Here is a 23,212-nt window from a genome sequence, read left to right on the forward strand (position 1 = left end):
GGCCTAGCACCCCTCTTCAGAAGAGATGGTGGGAGCACCTTCAAAGATGTCACATGGGGGCCGGGTGCGGTGGCTCACGCCTGTAATCCTAGGACCTTGTGAGGTTGAGGCTGGAGGAATGCTTGAGCTCACAAGTTCAAGACTAGCTTGGACAACATGGCGAAACCCTGTCTTTGGAAAAAATTAGCCAGGCGTGGTAGTCCCAGCTACTCAGGAGGCTGAGGTAGGAGGATGGCTTGAGCCTTGGGTGTGGAGGTTACAGTGAGCCAAGATCACACCACTGAAATCCAACTTGGGTAACAGAGCCAGACCTTGTCTCAAAAAAAAAAAAAAAGAAAAAAAAGAAAAAAACAATGCCACATGAGCAACAGTGCTTACATTTCCTGCTTGCTTATCAGTAAGGTTAACTGCTGATGTGCTGTTTCTTGTGTCCAGGTATTGCGCTAGGTGCTGTAGTTGCCTCTGCAGTCCTCAAAGCAACTTTCTGAAATAAACATTGCTTTGCTTCTCTAACCTCTGAGAAGTTAGACTTGTCTAAAACCTCATGGTTAAAAAGTGGCTATGCAGAATTTGAACCTAGCTCTGATGCCAGAGTTGCTCTTAACCCTTCCAGTACCACATAAGAAATGAGAAACTTGGGCCAGGTGTGGTGGCTCATGCCTGTAATCCTAGCACTTTGGGAGGCTGAGGCGGGTGGATCATGAGGTCAAGAGTTCGAGACCAGCCTGGTCAACATGGTGAAACTGTCTCAACTAAAAATACGAAAATTAGCTGGGCATGGTGGCGGGTCCCTGTAATCCCAACTACTCAGGAGGCTGAGGCAGGAGAATCGCCTGAAACTGGAAGGCGGAGGTTGCAGTGAGCCAAGATCGTGCCATTGCACTCCAGGCTGGGCGACGAGCGAAACTCCGTCTCAAAAAAAAAAAAAAAAAAAGAGGAACTTGAGCTATTATGCAAAAATGTTGTGAAATCTCTTTTAGGTCCAACTTGACTTGACTCAGGATGGTTGAGTTGAGACCAACTGTCATTTCAGTGCAGCTGGGAGTGGCCACTTCTCAGAGTCTGTTATCTCCTGACTGTGCAGTGAGTAACACATATGGCCTTGGGTGCTCAGAATTTATTAGTCCATCAACAGAGCTGAAAATACCTGTGAACACCAGGAGGCAGATGCCCCTGTGCTTTGGGCAGAAAGTTTGTGTGGCTAATAGTAAAGAAAAAAATTTTCTGCTTTTGAAGATCAAAGCATGTAAATCAAGGCCTCCCACTTGTTTGTCTGCAACCACAATTGGTAGTAACTGGCTTGAGCAGGTCATGGTTTCCCTTTAGAAGCAGCATAAGTTGCCAGAGTTTTGTGGGCACTTGTGCTTTTTGTCTAAACTTTTTTTTTTTTTTTGAGACAGAGTCTCGCTCTGTTGCCCAGGCCGGAGTGCAGTGGCGTGATCTCAGCTCACTGCAAATTCCACCTCCTGGGTTCATGCCATTCTCCTGCCTCAGCCTCCCAAGTAGCTGGGACTACAGGCACCCGCCACCACGCCCGGCTAATTTTTCTGTATATTTAGTAGAGACGGGGTTTCACTGTGTTAGCCAGGATAGTCTCAATCTCCTGACCTCATGATCCACCCGCCTCTTCCTCCCAAAGTAATCTTTTGATGAGACTCTGGAAATCTTAACATTTCCTCCAAATTGGTAACTTGGTGGTGGCAAGTCTTTAAATCCAGGCCATAGAAGCTAAGCAGTAGGTGCTGGTTTTGTCTAAACTTAAATTCAAAAATTCAGATTTATACAGTCTTAGTTTAAAGCAGTTTAATGTTTACTCTTAGATTTGTGTATTAAGTTTTAGTGGCTTCTTTATAGAAAGAGTACAAAATGCTTGGTGGATTTTTTAGATAGTAGTTTGAAGTAACCCTGGTTTATTAGCCAGATAATAGAAATGTCAGACAACAGAAATGTTTAGTGTAACAGGCTTGATACTTGGAAATTGGCTTGTTTGGCAGAGGGCAAGCATTTCCCCCTGGAATTTGAATTTTTAAACTGGCATGCCTTTCTACCCCCTCCCCCCCCTTTTTTTTTTAAAGACAGAGTCTTGCTGTTGCCCACCCAGGCAGAGTACAGTGGCATGATCATAGCTCACTACAGTCTTAACTTCTGGGCTCAAGCAGCCCTCCCGCCTCAGCCTCCCCAGGAGCTGGCATATAATGCATACCACCATGCCTGGATAATTTTAAACAATTTTTTTTTTTTTTTTTTTTTTTTAGACAGAGTCTTGCTCTGTTGCCCAGGCTGAAGTTCAATGGTGCAATCTTGGCTTATCGCAACCTCCGCTTCCCAGGTTCAAGTGATTCTTCTGCCTTTTCCTCCTGAGTAGCTGGGATCACAGGTGCATACTACACTCCCAGCTAATTTTGTATTTTTAATAGAGACAGGGTTTTACCATGTTGGCCAGGCTGGTCTCAAACTCCTGACCTCGGGTGATTCGCCCGCCTCGGCCTCTCAAAGTGCTGGGGTTACAGGTATGAGCCACTGCACCCAGCCCCATGCTGCTTTAAGTAAATTTTTTAAATAGGTCATGTCATATGGATAAGTCTGCAGTGGAATACAGTGAAGTCTCTTTATCCCATCTTCACAATATGAAAGGATGTCATTTGAGGTGCCATGGTGTCTTCCTTTGTAAACATCAGATTCCCTAGAGGAAGGGACAGAGCCTCTTTTCTAGGTTACTAAGCTGTGATTTGACACAGCAAACATTCCCTTGGGTTTATGGTCCTTTCATTACTTCATCAGACATGGCGTGTAGGCTCAGAGTAGTTGCTTGTAGCATTTAGCCTCGGCTGGCCTCATCTTTGGCTCATTTTAAAAATAAAAGAGGCTGGGGACGGTGGCTCATCCCTGTAATCCCAGCACTTTAGGAGGCTGAGACCAGCAGATCACCTGAGGTCAGGAGTTCGAGACCAGCCTGGCCAACATGGTGGGTGAAACCCTATCTCTACTAAAAATACAAAAGTTAACTGGGCATGGTGGCAGGCACCTGTAGTCCCAACTACTGGGGAGGCTGAGGCAGGAGAATTGCTTGAACCTGGGAGGCAGAGGTTGCAGTGAGCTGAGATCATACCACTGCACTCCAGCCTGGACAAGAGCGAGACTCTGTCTCAAAATAAATAAAATAAAATAGGTCTGTACAGAGACCATGGATTTGTACTGAAGTACAATCTTACTGGATTGTTCAGTACTCTTGGGAGAGTTTATGGCCACTGTGTTATACAATGGCCTGTCCTGAAACTACAGATCTGCTGTGTCTCTGCTGTATTGCACATCCATGTGGTGGCTTGGATCCCCAGCCCTGGCAGCCCCTCCCTAGCAGACCTGTGTGCTCCAGGAACCCTTAGAGGAGAAACACTGCCTTCTAACCCTGAGCCCTACTTCCCTTAACTAGTCCCAGTTGCAGCCACAAATCTGTCTTGGCTACTAATGAGTGACTACGGGATCCGTTCACCAGAGAACAATGATTAACCTTAAAGCAATTCTTAAGGAAGAGGATGACTTTACTGGATATCAGGGTAGCTATATTATTAATGTTTGGAGGTTTGGAGAACTCAGGCTGTCAAGAAAACAAATATTACCATTCATGAGGACACTGCATTTTAAACAATCAATCAGGCTTACAAAAGAAAGTCACATTTTTATAAACCATGGAGTGAAGTGGATTCCTGAGTTAAATTCTGGGGTACAGTGGCTTCAAGTGTCTTTAGATTGAGTCAACAAGGGTCTGTGGATTTAAATTAACAGGAGACATGTATCTAGATGAGATCTTTCTCTTTTTTTTTTGAAATGCGGTCTCGCGGTCGCCAGGCTGGAGTATAATGGCGCAATCTCAGCTCACTGCAACCTCCGTGTCCTGGGTTCAAGCGATTCTCCTGTCTCAGCCTCCTGAGTAGCTGGGACTACAGGCATGCACCACCACTCCTGGCTAATTTTTGTATTTTTAGTAGAGATGGGGTTTCACCATATTGTGGTCAGGCTGGTCTTGAACTCCTGACCTCAGGTGATCCCTCCCAAAGTGCTGGATCCACTCCACGTGGCCTTGTCTCATTTTAATTAAAACTGTTTTGCCATAGTAAAAATAAAAGGGACAAATAGAAAACTCAGCCATCAGCAAGAAAAGGCTTCTTCCACAGGGGCAACATCGTACATTGCTCTTATCAATCACTGAGGAAGGAGGTTGGTTACTTTCTCCATCTTCAGATTCACTAGAGCAGTTGTTTCTGTATGTGAATATGACATCGCCAGCAGGGTCCTGTCTTTAAAAAAAATTCCGTAATCTAAAATTACTTCTCACTGGTTTCTGCATCTGCCACTTGGGGAAGCCACCTCATGACCAAGTGTTTCCTACAGCCACCATGGCCCAAGGCTACCTGTACAGGATGCAGCCTCCTGCAGTTGCTCCCACTGTCTCCCAAATCTGGCGAACTTTTAGGCAATGGTAATGGCAAGTAGCCATGGAATTAATTCTGTGTGGTAAGAGGCACACAGACAGATGATGAGCAGCTCTTCTCCTTAAAGAAGTCTGTGTCTAATTCCTACGCGTGGCCGTTGTCAGAGTATAGCTCTTTCCCGTTACCTTTACTAGCCAGAAACAGCTTGCTTGCTTTCTGAAGAAAGAGAAATGACGCACCACAGGGTACATCAGATGAATCAGAAATTACATTGTTTGGACTTCAAAACAGTGTTTACTGACTCTGGGCTTAAACTTCTAGTCCACTCCTAGAACAGAAACCCTCAAAGTTCAAGAGTGGTTTTTTTTGTACAATTGTTTATACAAATTCAACAAAGGTAAAATCGCATCAGGGAAGGTCTAGGAAACACCACCTTACAACAATGGCACTTATAAATGCAGAACTTTACAACTAGGAAATAGCCATGTTACAAACCTAAATGAGAACTCAACTCACACTTCAGAGGAGAGAAGCAAAAGCAAAAGAAAGGCTATGTGGGAGCATTTATTCTACGTCTTGACTCACTGTATAAATTAGATCTATGTAAGTACAAGAGCTCATGCTGGAGCAGAACCTCCTGAGTGCAAAGGCTGAAGTCGAAATTTTAAAATTTGAGAAAAGTGAATTCTCTACAGAGGAAACTTGGCAGAGTATCTTACTTTGACTATAATTTACATTTATCCACAACATGCTCATGTAACTCTTGAGGTACAAAGCAGACTCTCAACTTCCAGTTAAACATGCTTTTAAGTGGAAGGTCTTAGCCTACTTTGTTAGATCTGGGCACATTTGTAGATGGGTTGTGTCGATGAAGTACACGTTAAATTCTCTCCTACCTTAAGGAAATCAGGAAAATTGGCAATCTCAAAACAATAAAAACACTGGTATGCATTCAAACCTTGCATAAATAACTTTTAAACAATTTGTACAAAAATAGTTCTGCATAATGTAAGATGTAACAAAACCAACCAAACAAAAAAAAGTGTCAAGACGGCAGCAGATGTGGTGTGTGGTCCACTTTATGTCAACACCCAAAACCTCGGTGTTGCAAGGAATGAAGTGTCCAAAACACCACTACCACTAACAGAAACTCCTAAGCTCATGCTTCAGTATGAGAATTTCTCCGAAGTCCACCCTCCTCTCCGACAGGAATGTCTTCTTGTAAAGGCCGCCTTAGAAATGGTCCAGAAAGCAGTGCAGTTACGATTCAGAAAGACCAAAGGAAAGTGTCGGCTCACTCATCCCCCAAACGGGTGGTTGAACAGCTTCTCCCTTGGAAAGACTTGCAAAATGGAATTGCGTTGTGGTCTGTTGTCCCACGTTCCAAATGGAAAATAAAAGCCCTCATTTTTGTAAAGTCTCTCCCCTCCCAGAGCCCGCCCCGTATTTACATACTTATCCTTGGACTAACTCAGTTTTTGCAGGAGTTTTTCTTCTACTTGCCCAAACTGGACACTCACAGACATCTCGGCTATGAACTGCTCACAGCCTTCCTTGGTGACTTGCTTGCAGTACCTCAGGTCAATATGACAGATGTTTCCACAGCGTTTGAAGAAGGACAGGCACTGATCAGTGACCTTATTGCAGTCTGCAGAGAAGAAATAGTAATGTGAGGTGTGAAGGCCAGGAGCCAGAAGCCCCCCCGCCGCCAGACCCAGGCACTCAGCAGTGGGGACAGGTCAGAGCTCTACATATTCCAGTCCCTGCTGTGCTGCACTAAATAAAATGTTATTTGCTTAAAATCTCTCTTCTTCAAACGGGGAAGGGTCTCACCCGCCAGGTATAAAGGTTAATATATGCCTCAAAAGCATTCAGATAACCACGTGAAAATCACTTCTGATTTACCACACAGCTGCCTCTATACGTGCGTATGCTCATGTAAGTAGTTCTATGTGCTTTTACAATGATAGGTTCACACACCATGTCAAGTAGCTTGCTTTTCTCATCTAATATGTTGTTGATGAGTACTGCTCTATGTCTATTACTGTGCATTTATTTGCCTCCTCCCTTCAGATAAATTCCCAGAGGGGCATTGCTGGGTCACAGAAAGAACATCCCTAAGGGCATCTTGGGATCATTTTTGCTTTTGCAGGCCGCAGTGCTTTGGAGCAATTCACAGCATGAGGGACAGCTGTTTGGCCCTAACTCCAGGACTGACCGTGTGCCAGCAGCCTAGACACCAGACCAACATGCCCTTCTAGCAAAAGCAGAATTCAGACTTCATCACACCCTCATCTGCAGACACACCCTTTGTGCTTTTTTTTTTTGAGACAGAGTCTCGCTTTTGTCACCCAGGCTGGAGTGCAATGGTGCACTCTTGGCTCACTGCAACCTCCGCCTCCCAGGTTTAAGTGATTCTCCTGCCTCAGCCTCCTGAGTAGCTGGAATTATAGGCGTGTGCCACCATGTGCAACTTTTTTTTTTTTTTTTTTTTTTTTTTTGTAGTAAGTAGAAACTGGGTTCCACCATGTTGTCCAGGCTGGCCTCAAACTCCTGACCTCATGTGATCCGCCCACCTCAGCCTCCCAAAGTGCTGGGATTACAGGCTTGCGCTACTGTGCCTGGCCTCAATGGTATTACATTTGTGACCTTTGCTAATCATCCTTAGTATCAACACTTTCATTTCTTTATTAAATTGAGTGGGAATAAAAATACGAAGGGCAAACCGCAATCATGCATACAACATCTGTGCTATCTACATGTTATCAAAATCCCTGCAAGCCAGGAGGTGGTGTAAAGTAGTAAAGTCAGAGCACCACATACGCCACCAAACTGACTTCCTTTATACAGCTAGTCCTTTCAGACAGTGGCCTCCACATCAGCACAGAATCTTCAAACAGATGCTCACCAATTCGTGAACCTGGAGCAGTGGTGCTGGAAAGCTGTCTACATACACATAGGCATTCACAAGTGAAGGCCCTGCTTTTGGACTGAAGATGGGAAAACGAGAGATGCTTCAACAGATAACTCAGGTTTTCATGGGTTTTTTTCTTTTTTCTTTTTTTTTTTTTTTTTGGAGATGATGGAGTTTTGCTCTTGTTGCCCAGGCTGGAATGCAGTGGCACGACCTCGGCTTACTGCAACCTCCCCTTCCCAGGTTCAAGCGATTCTGCCTCAGCCTCCCAAGTAGCTGGGATTACAGGTGCCGGCCACCACGCCTGGCTAATTTTTTTAATTTTTAGTAGAGATGGGGTTTCACCATGTTAGCCAGGCTGGTCTTGAACTCCTGAACTCAAGTGATCCATCCAGCTCAGCCTCCCAAAGTGCTGGGATTATAGGTGTGAGCCACCGTGCCCGGCAATAACTCAGTTTTTCAAAGGGTATCCCTTAATCTTCTAATTAATCCCTCAAGTAGTTCCCCCTCAAATGGCTGACCCTCTTCATAATCTTACTGCAAAATCCAATGATGAAGGAAGTTGTAGAATGTTATCATACAATTCCTTCGGGAAACTCATGATCCCCAAAACTCAATACTTGATTCATTTTAAGTATAAAGAATAGGGATTTTACTAATATGTTTATTTTCATATACTTTTCATTTTTCATTATTTACTATGACATGTTGACCAGTTAGATTTGAACTCCTGGTCTCAAGTGATCCTCCCCACCCAGCCTCCCAGACCACTGGGATATAGGTGTTGAGCCTGTCTGACCAGGATGGTTTTCTTAGAGGATGTCCCACATTCACACTTGTCATCTTAAAGGTGTCATTTAGCTTGTTCCATCTCTCCTGTTTTTCCTATAAACTGCAGATATCCCAGAGGCTTGCTTAGATTCAGGCTAGACATTTTCAGCAAGAAATCACCCTCAGAATCTTCCATCTTGACCCTGTTCCCAGCTCCCTATCTGCCTTCCAGAGCACTGTCTAGCTCATCCCCAGAATGCGTCTCATTCCTTACTCAGATGCAGCTATGCTGTCCCCACTCCATCACCAGCTCAGGGATATTTTTCCCCTGTAATGTTTGCCTAGTTCCTGGCTAGAAGGGACTGACCCAAGTCCTGCCTCTCCCTTGACACCTTCAAGCACCAGAGCAGGCAGCTCCCATGCCAGAGAACTCTGCCATCTGGCTGGCACACTGCTGTGGCCTGTAGCTGTCAGACGGCTGAGGGGGCCTCAAGTGCATCCTGGCAGTTACCTGTCGGTGGTAAGGCAGCACTTGGTGTGAAGTGAGACCTGGAGGCCCAGCTGGCTCCTTTTCTGAGTTGTCTTTGGGTACTAATTTGGGCCCTCTTTGGAGGCTCATTCATGCCCAGCCAGCATTCTTCCTGGCTTGTGGTTCACATATTCCCCAAAACTGGAGCCCAAAGACCCTTCCAACAAAGAAGCTAGAAGGAAAAGACTTTCTTTGGTCCCTCTGTGCGTTAGAGTTCACTGCAGCCTGGTTTCTCGGACCTTCCACAGGCAGGCTGACAGATGTTTCCTGCTGGCGCGTGGGGCCCGCCTGCCCGCCCGCCAGCCTGTGGAGGAACATCACTTTTGTTAGCATCCTCATCAGTTCTCCCTCCGCCTTTAAACATTTTAGATCTGGAATCTCACTACTTTGCCCAGGCTGGTCTAGGACACCTGGGCTCAAGTGATCCTCCCACCTCAGCTTCCTGAGTAGCTGGGACTATAGGTGTGTGCCACCATGCCTAGCTTCAGGAATAAATTTAACCAAGGAAGAACTTGTACTTTGAAGACTATAAAGCATTGCTGAAAAAAACTAAATTAGACATAAATAAATGGAAAGTCAAGACTTAATACAGATGTCAGCTCAGCACTACCCACAGCAATCTACAGATTCAATGAAATTGCTATAAAATCCTAGTAGTATTTTTTGCAGAAATAGAAAAATCTATCCTAAAATTCATGTGAATGCATGGGGCTCCAAGTTGTCCAAACAATCCAAAAAAAGAACAAAGTTGAAGAACTTGAGCTAATCTGAAGCTGAGGTGGAAAACCACTTGAACCCAGGAGTATGATTCCAGCCTGAGCAACACAGTGAGATCCTGTCTCCAAATAAAATAAAATACATAGGCCGGGCGCGACTGCTCATGCCTGTAAGACCAGCACTTGGGAGGCTGAGGTGGGTGGATCACTTGAGCCTAGGAGTTCAAGACCAGCCTGAGCAACATAGCAAAAGCCTGTCTCTATAAAAAAACAAAAAACACCAAAATTAGCCAAACATGGTGCCTCTAGTCCCAACTACACAGGAGGCTGAGGTGGGAGGATCATTTTTGCCTGGAAGGTGGAGCCTGCAGTGAGCCATGATTACCTCACTGCACTCCAGCCTGGATGACAGAGTAAGCCCCGTCATTCATTCATTCATAAATAAAGCACGTTACAGGCATAAGGATAGACATATAGACCAATGGAATAGAATCAAGAGCTCGGCCAGGCGTGGTGACTCACGCCTATAATCCCAGCACTTTGGGAGGCCGAGGTGGGCGGATCACCTGAGGTCAGGAGTTCGAGACCAGCCTGGCCAACATGGCATGGTGGCACACACCTGTACTCCCAGCTACACAGGAGGCTGAGGCAGGAGAATCACTTGAACCCGGGAGGTGGAGGTTGCAGTGAGCCAAGATCGTGCCACTGCACTGCACTCCAGGCTGGGCAACAGAGCGAGACTCTCTATCAAAAAAAAAAAAAAAAAAAAAGAATCAGGAGCCCAGAAACAAACCCTCAAATATATGGTGAAGTGATTTTTGAAAAGGGTGCTGCCAACAGCATTCAATGAAGTAATAAATAATCTTTTCAATAAATGTTGCTGGAAAAATTGAATTTCGACATGCAAAAGAATAAGCTGGACCCGGCCGTGCGTGATGGCTCATGCCTGTAATCCCAGCACTTTGGGAAGCCAAGGCGGGTGGATCACAAGGTCAGGAGTTCAAGACCAGCCTGGCCAATATGGTGAAACCTCATCTCTACTAAAAAATACAAAAATTAGCCAGGTGTGGTGGCACGTGCCTGTAGTCCCAGCTACTTGGGAGACTGAGGCATGAGAATCACATGAACCCAGGAGGCGGAAGCTGCAGTGAGCTGACATTGCACCACTGCACTCAAACCTGGGCGACAGAGCAAGACTTTGTGTTGAAAAAAGAAAATGGGAAATTTTTCATGACATTAGACTTTGCAAAGATTGATATGACACCAAAATCACAGCCAACAAAGGGAAAAAAAAAAAAAAGGCCAGGTGCAGTGGCTCATGCCTGTAATTCTAACATTTTGGGAGGCTGGGGCAGGAGGACTACTTGAGCCCAGGGGTTTGAGACCAGTCTGGGCAACATAGCGAGACCCTGTCTCTAAAACAGAAAAAAAGTCTGGAGATGGATGTTGGTGACAGTTGCACAACATTGTGAATGTACTTAATGCCACTGAATTCTATGCCCAAAAATGGCTAAGGTGGTCCATTTTATATTATGTATTATTTTACTACAACATAATTATTTTTCTAATTTTGGAAGCTGGAGAAGAGGTAACAATTTAGGAGACCTGAGAAAGCTTAATTAACCCTAAAGTGGCTGAGGGGAAAGCAGAAAAGAATGATTATTCTATAGAACACCTCCAAGGTGTTTAGTTGTGATTTCTCAGAAATTCCTCTTGCATTGGAAGTGACATGTACATTGGAAGTGGGGCTAAAGATGGTGTTAGTAACAGAAGCACTGGTTGAAAATCTATTCAAGGAGCAGTAAGATGTCCAGATTCCTTCCCCAGCAGAAGACTGGGGTTTTAGTCTCTGATGGGCTGGGCTCCAGTGGGCACAGAAATTAGGGGTGCCCACTCAAAAGTGGGGGCTAAGGGAAAATTTACCTGCTGACTGTTGAGAACCTCCTTCCCCCATCAAGCCCCATACTTGACCATACCAATGGCGGTCCACCCTACACCCTTAGGAGATCAAGGAGAGTCTTTCTGGCAATCCTGACCAGCTTAAGAGAAAGATGGAAAGATGTGATGTCCAGGTTTCACCAAAGAAACGACACACAGAGACCACCCTGTAAGTGTCGTCCATAGCAGACAAGCTCCAACCGCGTGCCCAGAGCTTCTGATCACCCTTGAGTGGAGGGACAAGCAAGCATCAGCATTCAAGCTGAGGAGGGCCTCTGCTGAAGGCCACTGACAGCATTTGAAGGGAACAGTCAATGCAGAGAGAAGAAAATAAAACAATCATTCATATCCTCAGGTAGGAAAGTTATCTGGCTCCAAGAAACAACTGGCCATTCCACAAAAAGTTCAGAGAATACAGCTTGAAAATTAAACATATAGGTTGAACCATATGAAAATGCCAACATTTGACTACTTTTGACTTATAAAAACAGCAGTTTCATATGGTTCAACTGCACAACAGCAGAAACTAAAAACTCAGTGTATAAGTTGTGGCCGGACGCGGTGGCTCACGCCTGTAATCCCAGCACTTTGGGAGGCCGAGGCGGGCGGATCACGAGGTCAGGAGATCGAAACCATCCTGGCTAACACGGTGAAACCCCGTCTCTACTAAAAATACAAAAAATTAGCTGGGCGTGGTGGCGGGCACCTGTAGTCCCAGCTACTCGGGAGGCTGAGGCGGGAGAATGGCGTGAACCTGGGAGGCGGAGCTTGTAGTGAGCCGAGATCGCGCAATTGCACTCCAGCCTGGGCGACAGAGTGAGACTCCATCTCAAAAAAAAAAAAAAAAGTTGTATGATAAAGTAAGGGAAAACTCCCAGAAAATACAGCAAAAAGACATTGACATGGAAATGAGGAGGGAAGACAGGAATCAGAGGACTAGTCCAGAAAGAGGAAAACAGAAGGGGAGGAAGTTAAGAAAGAAGAAGTTTTTCTACAAGTGAAGAACACAGACGTCCAGACTGAACGGCTTCTGTGAGTGTTCAGCATGGTAGGTGAAATGGACTCAAACCTGTTTGTCATCAAAAATTGCAGACAATTACAGACGACTTTCTATTAACTTACAAGGAGAGAAAATAGATTCACTGACAGATGAAGAATCAAATGGTTTTAGACCTTGCCTCTGGAAGGCAGAAGATGGTGGAGCAAAACCTCCCACTTACTGTAGCAACAGGCTCCCAGACTAGGGTTCTATACCCAGCAGAACTAGCAACTAAATGGGAAGGTATATAATAAAAACAAATTCAGACACACAGGGTCTAGAAAATGTCTCTCACCAAATGTGAGAGTAAACCAAGAAAGAAGATATGAGATCAAGGAAGGAGGGTACCTAGGCCAAGACAGAGACCAAAGGAGTCCAGGATGGCAGCAGTGGGGCGGGCAGTCCCAGAGGAGAAAACGGAAGGGGAGGAAAAGAAGTCAGGAGGCAGCTCTCGTACAAAAACTGGTCAAGAAACTGATGAGTTGGGGGTGGGGAGGGGGAGAGCATTCAATTCTGTTGTACCATTTGCATAGAAACTAAGCAAAATGAGGCAATTAATAAAAACATTGAGCAAGAAAGAAAATGTACTCATAATACACTATTTGGCTCAACAGTGACCAACACTTAACATGGTCATAATAAGTGAAAGAATAGTGACAACCAAAAATTGGAAAAGATGGAGGGAGAAAAACGGGTGGGGAGTGGGAGGGAAGGATACAACAGTAATAAATCCTCATGTTATATAATAGCAAGCTAATAAATATATAATGTCCACATGGGAAAAAAAAAGAAATTGCAGTATATGGGCTGCCAAAGCAAGCACTAGGCTTGCTATTTTGAAATAGCAGAGGTAAACACTGGAAGAAAGAATTCAAGAGTTTAAGGCATTGTCTCAGGTAGTGAGGATGGGGTAAAGGGAAAGGCAGGGGACTGCCTTGAGCACCCAGTAAATTTTCCACGATGGAATTCGGCCAGAACAATAGCTAGAATTGCAACTTCCCTTGTCACGAGACCAGATCCTCCAACCAAGTTTAAGGATCTTGAGGCATGTCAACTGTCATCTATTTTGTGGCACAGACTTATTTCCCATCTCTGGTGCTTGCATCAGGACAAGCTTATTTTTCCAGTAACTCAACTGGTTACACCGATGAGAGGGGAATTTTTTTTTTTTTTAAGAAAATCTAGAAGAGTTTAGGTATAGAGATATGCCTTAGTATACTTCACAGCTCTTAACAAGAATGCAGGCCAGGCGTGGTGGCACACGCCTGTAATCCCAGCACTTTGGGAGGCAGAGGTGGGTGGATCACCTGAGGTGAGGAATTTGAGGCCAGCCTGGCCAACATGGTGAAACCTCATCTCTACTAAAAATACAAAACTTAGCCAGGCATGGTGGCAGGCGCCTGTAATCACAGCTACTCGGGAGACTGAGGCAGAAGAATCACTTGAACCTGGGAGGCAGAGGCTGGAGTGAGCCGAGATCGCACCACTGCACTCCAGCCTGGGTGACAGAGCAAGGCTCCATCTCAAAAAAAAAAAAAAAAGAATGCAGAGAGCTGTATGCACTGAGATAAAAAGATGACCTCAATTTATCATGCTGGAAAAACAAAATGCAAAAGATGATTTGCATGCACACACACAGCATGGCCCACACCGCAGGGGAGGGAATTTATACTGAGATCTCTGCTACGCATCCATAATAACTAAACCAGGATATAATGAAGAGATGTAATAAAATGCCAGCACTTAGAGTAAGACGACTCCCAGGCCCTCTCCAAAGGGCAGCTCCATCACCCATTCAAGGCCATGACCTGGCCCTTGAGCTGGAGAAGCCTCAATTCACTCTGGTTCTTTGCGTCCACGAGGTGGAACAATCCCTGCCACCAAAACTTCATGAGGAGAAGGAATGGCTTCCTAGGTCCCGAATGATCTCATCCCATCCAAAGCTCCCATGCCCCTGCTATGAGGCATGGTTGCCAGACAGTTTATCAGGCATAAATGTGGGATGCAGAGGAGAAAACAACGTGTATGTCACCACTGCGCTGTGTGAAAAATGTAATTTGATGAGATGGGGATGTCCTTAGTACTTGGTAATTTCTAAGGGTAAAAAAAAAAAAAAACCTGTAGTTTCTTTTTCTCTTTCTTTTTTTGCTCTCACGCAAACCCAACACCCCCCAATCCAGACCATCCTAAGCTACCAGACCAAAATTGGGTTAGTTGGGCGAAGAGCAGGCAGCATTGCTCTGTGTACCTCGCTGCATACTGGAGCCCCAAGTCCTTCAGAACCAACTGCCGCCCCAACGGCAAGTGCAGCGAGCGAAGATCCTGCACCACAGCGACAGACAGAGAACAATAATGGAACTCACTGTGGGTTTTTTTCTCTCCAACAACAGGCCCCTTGATAGCAGGGTCACAAGGGGTGCATGTAAGCAACGACAGCAAAGGCAGAAACCAAGCTCCCTCCTGCCCACCAGGGCCCTTGCCTCCCGGCCCCCACTGTCTCAACACCCTGGTTGTCAGGCACCGGCTCTTCTGCACCCCCTCGGGAAGCTGTCCCTTGTCCGTATTTTGGGTCAGGAACCACTGCTATGTGCTTGTGGCTGCTGCTAACTGGCACTATTTTGGGGTAGCAATTACTACAACTCCAATGGTAACTTTTTTTTTTTTTTTTTTTGAGACAGTTTTGGTCTTGTCACATAGGCTGGAGTGCAGTGGCGCCATCTTGGCTCACGGCGACCTCCACTGCCAGTTTCAAGCGATTCTCCTGCCTCAGCCTCCCGAGTAGCTGGGATTACAGGCGCCGGCCACCAACCCCCGGCTAATTTTTGTATTTTTTTGTAGAGACGGGGTTTCACCATGTTGGCCAGGCTAGTCTCGAACTCCTGTCCTTATGATCCACCTGCCTCGGCCTCCCAACGTGCTGGGATTACGGGCGTGAGCTACCGCACCCGGCCAACAGTAACTCTTTGTTTACTGTGTTTCCCCCCTGGACTGGGCTGTCTGTCTCAGTAAACGAGACACCTAGCACTGTGACCACATAGCTGTAGACACACGAATCGTTTTCCACAAATGTGAACCTCCTGGTTCTCCCACGGAGTGTTAGGCAGACCCGATGGGGGCCCCTGACTCACCAGACAGGTTGATCTCGGTTAAGGAGTCTCGGGTGGTGGTGCCAACAGCAGTGAGCAGGTTGATAGACTGGTCGGTGACGTGGTTACAGTAACTGAGGTGGAGCTTGGAGAGCAGGGGCATGTGGCGGATGATGAGCCGCAGGGAGGCATCTGTGATGTCCAGGCCTGCCAGGCGCAGCTCCACGATGTTCCGGAGCTTGCTCCGATTGTCCATCTGACCTGGTGGGGCAGGAAGGAGGGGGCAACCCGTCAATCTGACCGAGGAGGCCTGGTCATGCTGACATGACACTCTAAAAGGCCCACCAGCCAGACAGAACACTCAGATTTCATTTAGTTATAAACTGCTTCCTCCCAAAATCATAATTCCAACAGTGAAAAATCAGACTCCACATCAAAACTTAGATTTTCAGATTCTCTTGAAAAACTAAAAGACCTAGAAACACTATGCCCACATTCCACCCAGTAGTCATCAGCCAACCAGTGCAGAGGCTGCGCAGCATCTCCGATCCCCATGGCTTGGCGAGAAGCACGGACCTAGGCAGTCCAGCCCAGTCCAGGGGGAGGTGCCATCCTGGAAGCCTTTGCACAACCACACTGATCCCGATGGCAGTGGAGGCTTGAAACCAACGAGGGGCAAGTCAACAGAAAAGAAGTGAGATGCACGCAGAGCCCCATGAGCGAGTCAATAAGAAAGCAGTGAGACACACGCAGAGCCCCATGAGCGAGTCAACAGGAAAGCAGAGAGACGCACGCGGAGCCCCAGGAGCGAGTCTCACGTGTGCACAGGAGCCCCTGCCTCCTCCCAGATCCCCTCTGTGCCTGAAGCAAACTGAGAACATGGCAGCAGAGACTCATCCCTATGTCCTTTGGGGAACAGCTGGGGTCTGAGGGTAAAAGCAGATCCAACAGTCTAGCTCGCTCACCCCACCCCCACAGAAACCCCCAGCCTGGCAACTCACCTGGCCTGTTGTCTGTGGGCGGGGACAGGAGATCCCGCATCTGGGCATCCTTTAGTCCCTCCACCCACTGGACATCCAGGGTCCGGAGCAGCGGACAACTGGAGCTGCAAAGGGCCGAGACCGCGATCCATGAGCAGCCTGACAGCACCAAGTCCCGGAGCCCTGGGGGGACATAGAAAAGGGTGAAGGTCAGGGGATGTGTCCCCAGCCCTCACTGCAGCAGACACACTCGGGGCCACTGGCCCAGGGCTCACCAGGCAGCCGGTTGATGAGCCAGCTCAGCTGCTTCTTGGAGATATTGGTCCAGCTGAGGTCGAGGGAGACGGGCTGTCGCCGGATGATGCCACTCAGCATCAGGGGTGTGATAGACTTGCAGTGGTTCAGGTCAATGCGGGTCCACAACCGCTTATCGCAGCACCTGGGGACCGGCCCCGTGGGGACACATCGTCAGAGGTGGGGCTCCTCTAGGGAGCCCACACACAGCTCTTAACTGTCCCCACCTAACAACCTCTGGGAGGCTCCTTAACTCAGCGCTCTGGACCCTTCTCTATGTAGCACCTATCCTGCCCCCACGCGGGCACCTCCCACCTGCTCTAACAGCCATGGCCTCCACTCTCCATCAAGTATGTATGTATGTATTAAGACGGAGTCTCGCTCTGTTCCCAGGCTGGTGTGTAGTGGTGCAATCTCTGCTCACCACAACCTCCGTCTCCCAGGTTCAAGCTATTCTCCTGCCTCAGCCTCCCGAGTAGCTGGGATTACAGGTGTGCGCCACCACACCCGGCTAATTTTTTTATTTTTAGTAGAAATGAGGTTTCACCTTGTTGGCCAGGCTGGTCTTGAACTCCTGACTTCAAGTGATCCGCCCGCAAAGCGCTAGGATTACAGGCATGAGCCACTGCGCCCGGCCTCCATCAAGTATTTACCATGGGCTTTACAACGCCCTCTACCGGCCGTTCCTCCAAACAACCCCCATGAAGCTGGCGTCATGCCCGTTCATCCAAGAGGGTAAGGCAGAGCTAAGGCCAGAAAGCTGGTAAATATCGGCTGGACTGAAGTTGCAACTCGCAGCCTTGCTGGAAACCTGGACTAACTCTCCGAAGCCAAGGACTCCACGTGGTCCTCACTTCACCCTCCAGGAAGCTAAATCGGAATAAACGGGGTCACCTCCTCTGACAAGACCAGAGGGGCCGCTGTAGCCAGCTGGAACGCTTTGCGGAGCACAATGAAGCCATACTGGGGTTTGGAAGGAAAGAGCATCGCCAGCGACTCCACACACCACGGGCCATCCCTGGTGCCGCCTGAGCCTTAACCTAGAGCCCTACACAGGCCGCCGCTCACCAGCGGTTCCAGGTCCTGCAGACCCGCATGCACACACACAGGTCTTGGTGGCTGAGGTAGCTGAAGACGGCCATCCACACCTCCCTGTGCATGACGTGGGCTGCCCCATCGTCCAGGGGTAGCGAGTCAGGCGGGGGGCTGATGGGGGGTGGCCGGATCACATGGCGCTCCATCTGGATACACTTGGGCGGGGACACGGAGGGTGGGGGCCGGGAGATGACACGGGGCGGGCTGCGCAGGCTGGGCCCCAGCTGGTGCCGCAGCTCCCGGGGGGTGCCGTTGAGCCCCTTGCTGAAGCGGTGGGGACGCTCGCAGATGCCCGGGGGCCGCTTGGGCTCCTCGCCCTCGCTCTCAGGCTCCGACTTGATGGGCTGCTGGTTCTCGTTGGCCAGGCTGTTCTCCGTCCTCTGGATCTCGTGGTTGAGCTCCTTGCTCAGCTCCCTGCTCAGCTCCTTGTTGGGAAGCCGCCGCTTCCGGCGCATCTTCACCTTCTTCTTCTCCTCCGGGCCCTCGGCCCCTTCGGTGCTGGGTCCCGCGGTGGGGGAGCTGGAGCGGGAGTGGTCGCTCTCCCTGGTCTTGGGGGGCGCCTCGGGCAGTTCGTCCTCGGGTTCCTGCTTGAAGCGCCGGAGGGGCTTGTTGGCCAGCGCCATGCGGTCCTCGGCGTTCTTCCAGGACCGCCGCTGAGGGCGAGAGCGGAGACGCGTCAGCCTCTGGGGCTCAGGGCTGCGCCCGCCCAAGGCCTCCCGCCCCCCTGCCACGGGACTGTGGCCCAGGGAGCTGCGGTGCAGCTCTAACCGCTCAGGCCTGGGGCACAGGAGGGAGGGGAAGATGGTACCTTTTTCCTGAAAAGCTTATCTTCTTTGCCAGGTTTGAGCTGTCACGAAAAAGAAAGGACGCAGAGCTTGCTCCCCGGGCTCGTGGGATTTGGTCTCCTCGACACCCCACCCCACCACGAGTCCACAGTCTCCAGAGGAGGGGCTGGAGGGAGGCCTTCCCCACAAATGCCATCTCCACGTCTGACCGACAGACGGGCGAGCCCTGCCTGCAGCTTTCAAGGAAGAAGCTGGAAGTAGGAGTACAGTTGAACTGTTCCCACCCAACTGACCTCCCACCCCACAGACCTGGAGATGTGCAGCCGCCCATTCAAATCATCCTCGGCTCTGGGAGCCAGTTCTGGAGCACAGCCCTGTGGGAATCCCCGGCCCAGCAGGAATGGCTAGAGCTGGGAGAGACTCCTGGCGCCACCTTGTGGCTGGTGACAGCACGGCCCGTGGGTGGAGCAGGGCCACCAGGCTCCTCAGAGGTTCCCTGGACTCACAGCTTCCATCCCAACCAACAGAGGCTCTAGGCACAGACAGCTTCCCAGGCCCCAAGCCAGAACCACGAGCCAGAGATCTGGGGCCGAGACCTGGGAAGCCTCAGGAGAGGCAGCAGTGGGGTGGAGGACCAGCGGGGTGGGGTGGGGGACAGCCCAGGACTCGCCAGTCCCCGGGGCCTCAGGAGGGCGTGCGTCGTGGGAGCACCTGCTGCTGGAAGTAAGTGAGACTGGATCTCCACCAGGGGCTGAGGCTGCTGCCTAGAGGGGGCCTCGGCGAGAGGTGAGAGGAGGAACCGGGGGACGTTTGAAGCGATGAGGCCTAAAGGGGGGTGGAGTGGGAAGAGGAGTGACTCGCTGGTTTTCCCCTCCTTTCTTTGGGGCAGGGCTCTCAGGACTTAGGTGACCTGCTCAGGGCAGCAAGAGGCCGGGATTATCCCAAGCTCTACCTGCTGCCCACCCCCTGCCCCATCCCTCCAACCCAGCACCCGGGACCAGCCAGACCAACCCCTTTGCCTCCCAGCCCCTCCTGGTCCGTACCCGCTTGCGTCCACTCAGCTCCTGGGGCTTCTCGTATTTCCGCTTCTTCCTCAGGTGCACGTCGTCAGACTTTCTGCGCAGAAGGCCGTCCGGCGGCACCTTCTTCGAGTGCTCATCCGACCTGCGCCGGGGCGCCTCCTCACACTCACTCCTCCGCTTGGCAGGTTCCTGCCCTTCCTTGTTGTCCCGGTTCATCTTCTGCTCCTTGAGCAGGGAGCCGGGCAGGTTGGAGGCGTACTTAAAGCCAGGGCCACGCTTTTGCTTGTAGGCCAAAAAGAGAGAATGAACAGACCAACTGTATACCTTTGGACTTGCCCTTCCTCCTCCCCAGGCCGACGGCAACCCACCTGCCTGAAACTCCTGGGACAGGCTGGTCCCGGCCAGGCCCAGGCCCGCCCCTCTCCCGACTGACCCTGGGACTTGGAGCCCGGCACTCACTTTCCCGGTCTTGCCGGCGTGGTTACACTTCGGACACTCCCAGCAGTTTGGAAGCTCGTCGTTGACCACACCCTCTGACTCCTTAATCTGCGGGGAACACCAGGACTCAGAAGAGGGACGGGCGGAGAAGATGGCCCACGGGCACAAGGCTCTGTGACGCCACGTCTTCCAGAAGCAGCAGCACCCCCTCCCCAACGTCACATCTATCCCGTTTCCAGGCAAAAGAAAACACAGCTGCAGAGGCTGGCAGAGACGGGCAGCTGTGGATCCAGGCCAGGGTTCAGAGGCTGAGCCCCTTTGCTTCTCTGGGACCCTGGGCAAGACACTCCGTCTCTGTGGGCTGGTGCCCTCGGCCATAAAAGTTAGTGTGCCCATCTCACTGGGGGGGTATGACCCAGGTAAAGCCATGAGCTCAGCGCCTGGCATGCAGAAAGGACTCTGCAGAGGACTCTACTGGGTGCTGGGGGAAGGAGTGTGGTGTGGGGCCTTGTTCTCCCAGAAGCCTGGAGCCACCTGGAGGCGCTTCCTCTGGCCCAGCTACAAACAAGCAGCCTGTGTTTGCCATCTGCTGAGGCTCTGGAAACCCTCTCTGGTTCTGACATCCTGGGAGGTGGGGGTGTGTTTATTCCTTTGATGACACTGGGTCTCTGAGGTACTCCAGGCCCTCCTTGCCCCGGGCTTATCCCTTGACACACAGGATCACCCAGACTCAGGGGTCCTCCAGGAATTCACTGCACGACCTGCATCCCACCATCTCACCAGCATCTCCAGCAACCCTACCTGCCCCAGAGCGTCAGCACCACCTGTCCCCACTGGGCCACTCACCTTAAGGCATCCAGGGTGGATGATTTCATTGCAGATGGAGCACTCCATGAGCATGAGGTTAAACTTGCCTTCCTCCTCTTCCACCGTGTCTTCCTTCCCCGCCTCGCCACACACAAGGCACACGGCGGTGTGGGGCAGCACTGGCTGAGGAGCCAGGGAGAACAAGACAAGTCATCAGGGGTGGGGAGCACGGACCCCCAGGGGGGCCAGTTCAAGGGCAATGAGCTGCTCCCCTTGGGCCTGCCAGGAGACCCCCGGAAAGTGGCCCAGGCACATTCGCTCACTCATTCATTGAAATACGTATCAGGCTACTACCTCCACATGCCAGATACTACTCTTAATTGCTGGGGATACAGCAAGGAACAAGACAGCTCAAAATCTCTGCCATCCAGAGCTTACATTTTAGTGGAGGGAGGCAGACAAAATGGACAGAGCATGTTAGAGACAGAGACATGGGGAAAAATTAGAGGGCTGGAGTGAGGGGCAGAAGGGGGGCTGATTTTAAATATGGAGGTCAGGGAAGGCCTCACATTCAGAAAAGCCCCAAAGGAGCAGGGGCGTGAGCGCAGCCCAGATCCATGCGGATGAGATGAAGCTGCATCTCACCAGTGGGTATTCAAGGCACAGACCATGGACTGCGGGCTCCCAAGACCTTTACAGAAAGGTTAGGAGGTCAGAACTGTCTTCAGAATAACAGACGTTATTTGCCTTTTGCACAGTATTGATATTTGTACTGGCGGGTGAAACTCCTGGCCCCTCAGCACCAGGCAAGGCAAGGCCCCCAGCTCACCAGCAGCCATGGGGTGACTCATGCCATACGCTTATTAAAAAGATCACCAGGCCGGGCGCGGTGGCTCACGCCTGTAATCCCAGCACTTTGGGAGGCCAAGGCGGGCGGATCACAAGGTCAGGAGATCGAGACCATCCCGGCTACCACGGTGAAACCCCGTCTCTACTAAAAATACAAAAAGAAATTAGCCGGGCGTGGTGGCGGGCGCCTGTAGTCCCAGCTACTCGGGAGACTGAGGCAGGAGAATGGCGTGAACCCGGAAGACAGAGGTTGCAGTGAGCCGAGACCATGCCACTGCACTCCAGCCTGGGCGACAGAGCGAGACTCCGTCAAAAAAAAGATCACCAGTTTCATCTAAGAATATCTCTGATGAAACAGTAAAAATTACTTTATGAAAACCTTACCCTAGAGTACACATCCTTTTCATGTGCTTTGTGACAATAAGAAGTATGCGTAAAGTGCCTCGGCACACAGGTGACGCGTACCAAAGGAAAAGCACTCGTGACTGAGCTGGGAGGTGAAATGGCCACTTTCTCCACAGATTATTTTTACTTGAAGGAATGACTGATAGAAACCCCCTGGACACTGGTGTATTTTTGTGAAGATCAAAGAAGTGAGCTTGTCATTTCCAGAAAAATAACTGACAGCATTTGTTGCAAATGACAAAATTCAAGTTTCTGAATGAAAATTAGACTTTTGGAAAACTTTTATGAACCACCATAACCCGCACAGCTTCCCAATACTGAGAGACTTTTCCAATGAGATCAGTAATCATATTAACAAACGTGATTTCTAAAATAATATTATGTGCCAATATTTGGAAAATCCGCCTAACTCAGGGAGCCAATATTTTCCAGATGACCAATACATGGTGTTACAACATCATGCCTGAGCAAATGAGCTACTCAAAGGTCAAGACAGGCTAATGATTTTCAATGTAACAGTGTGAACAGCTCATTGATACAGTTTCAGACTCCACATTGCAACTAAACTTTAAAAAAAACTGTTGAGTTCTAGTTGAGTATCAGAGTATCCACAGTTATCAAAAAGGCTATTAAAATACTCCTCCCTTTTCCAAGTAGTATATATCTGTGTGAGGCAAAATTTTCCTCATACTCCCTCCAAAACAACATATCACAATAGACAAAACACAGAAGCAGATATGAAAATTCCAGGTCTTCTCTTTTTTTTTTTTATTTTTTGAGATGGAGTCTTGCTCTGTCACCCAGGCTGGAGTGCAGTGGCACGGTCTCGACTCACTGCAACCTCTGCCTCCTGGGTTCAAGCGATTCTCCTGCCTCAGCCTCCCGAGTAGCACAGGTGCCCGCCACCACGCCCAGCTAATTTTTTATATTTGTAGTAGAGATGCGGGGTTTCACCATGTTGGTCAGGCTGGTCTCGGACTCCTGACCTCATGATCCACCCACATCGGCCTCCCAAAGTGCCAGGATTACAGGCGTAAACCACCGCACCCGGCAATTCCAAGTCCTTTCTAATGAATCAGACATAACAGAGATTTACAAAAATATAAAACAACGC

General features: G+C 49.4%; 1 protein-coding gene and 1 non-coding gene across 52 annotated transcripts in view, besides 1 other annotated feature; both read right to left on the reverse strand.

Moving 5' to 3' along the window:
- The window catches only part of KDM2B (lysine demethylase 2B), a 173,819-nt gene that overhangs the window by 15,931 nt on the left and 134,676 nt on the right, over nucleotides 1-23,212 (reverse strand). For 17 of the 51 annotated variants that reach the window (NM_001439022.1, XM_047429691.1, NM_001439017.1 and 14 more), the window contains 10 exons: nucleotides 20,884-21,027; nucleotides 20,059-20,145; nucleotides 19,621-19,881; nucleotides 19,289-19,402; nucleotides 18,601-18,639; nucleotides 17,766-18,445; nucleotides 16,679-16,842; nucleotides 16,425-16,586; nucleotides 15,466-15,684; nucleotides 4,705-6,078 (listed from right to left, as the gene is read on the reverse strand). In NM_001439022.1, the coding sequence (NP_001425951.1) occupies nucleotides 5,897-6,078; nucleotides 15,466-15,684; nucleotides 16,425-16,586; nucleotides 16,679-16,842; nucleotides 17,766-18,445; nucleotides 18,601-18,639; nucleotides 19,289-19,402; nucleotides 19,621-19,881; nucleotides 20,059-20,145; nucleotides 20,884-21,027 (2,052 nt within the window). In that variant the 3' untranslated portion in view covers nucleotides 4,705-5,896. Of the gene's footprint in view, nucleotides 1-4,704; nucleotides 6,079-15,465; nucleotides 15,685-16,424; nucleotides 16,587-16,678; nucleotides 16,843-17,765; nucleotides 18,446-18,600; nucleotides 18,640-18,886; nucleotides 19,403-19,620; nucleotides 19,891-20,058; nucleotides 20,146-20,883; nucleotides 21,028-23,212 lie in introns of those variants that run through there. The other 34 variants (NM_001439023.1, NM_001439018.1, XM_047429689.1 and 31 more) reach the window with 9 other exon arrangements.
- Nucleotides 1,119-1,198: an enhancer, noted in NCBI's record as "active region_7165". NCBI's record gives its function as "activates an Ori minimal core promoter by ATAC-STARR-seq in GM12878 lymphoblastoid cells {active_cell/tissue: GM12878}" and the evidence as "EXISTENCE:reporter gene assay evidence [ECO:0000049][PMID:35858748]".
- Nucleotides 19,882-19,961, reverse strand: MIR7107 (microRNA 7107). The gene has a single exon (NR_106957.1). It is a non-coding gene; the product is annotated as a microRNA 7107 (primary transcript).

The sequence above is a fragment of the Homo sapiens genome, chromosome 12 (assembly GCF_000001405.40).
Source record: "Homo sapiens chromosome 12, GRCh38.p14 Primary Assembly".
NCBI classification, from domain to species: domain Eukaryota; kingdom Metazoa; phylum Chordata; class Mammalia; order Primates; family Hominidae; genus Homo; species Homo sapiens.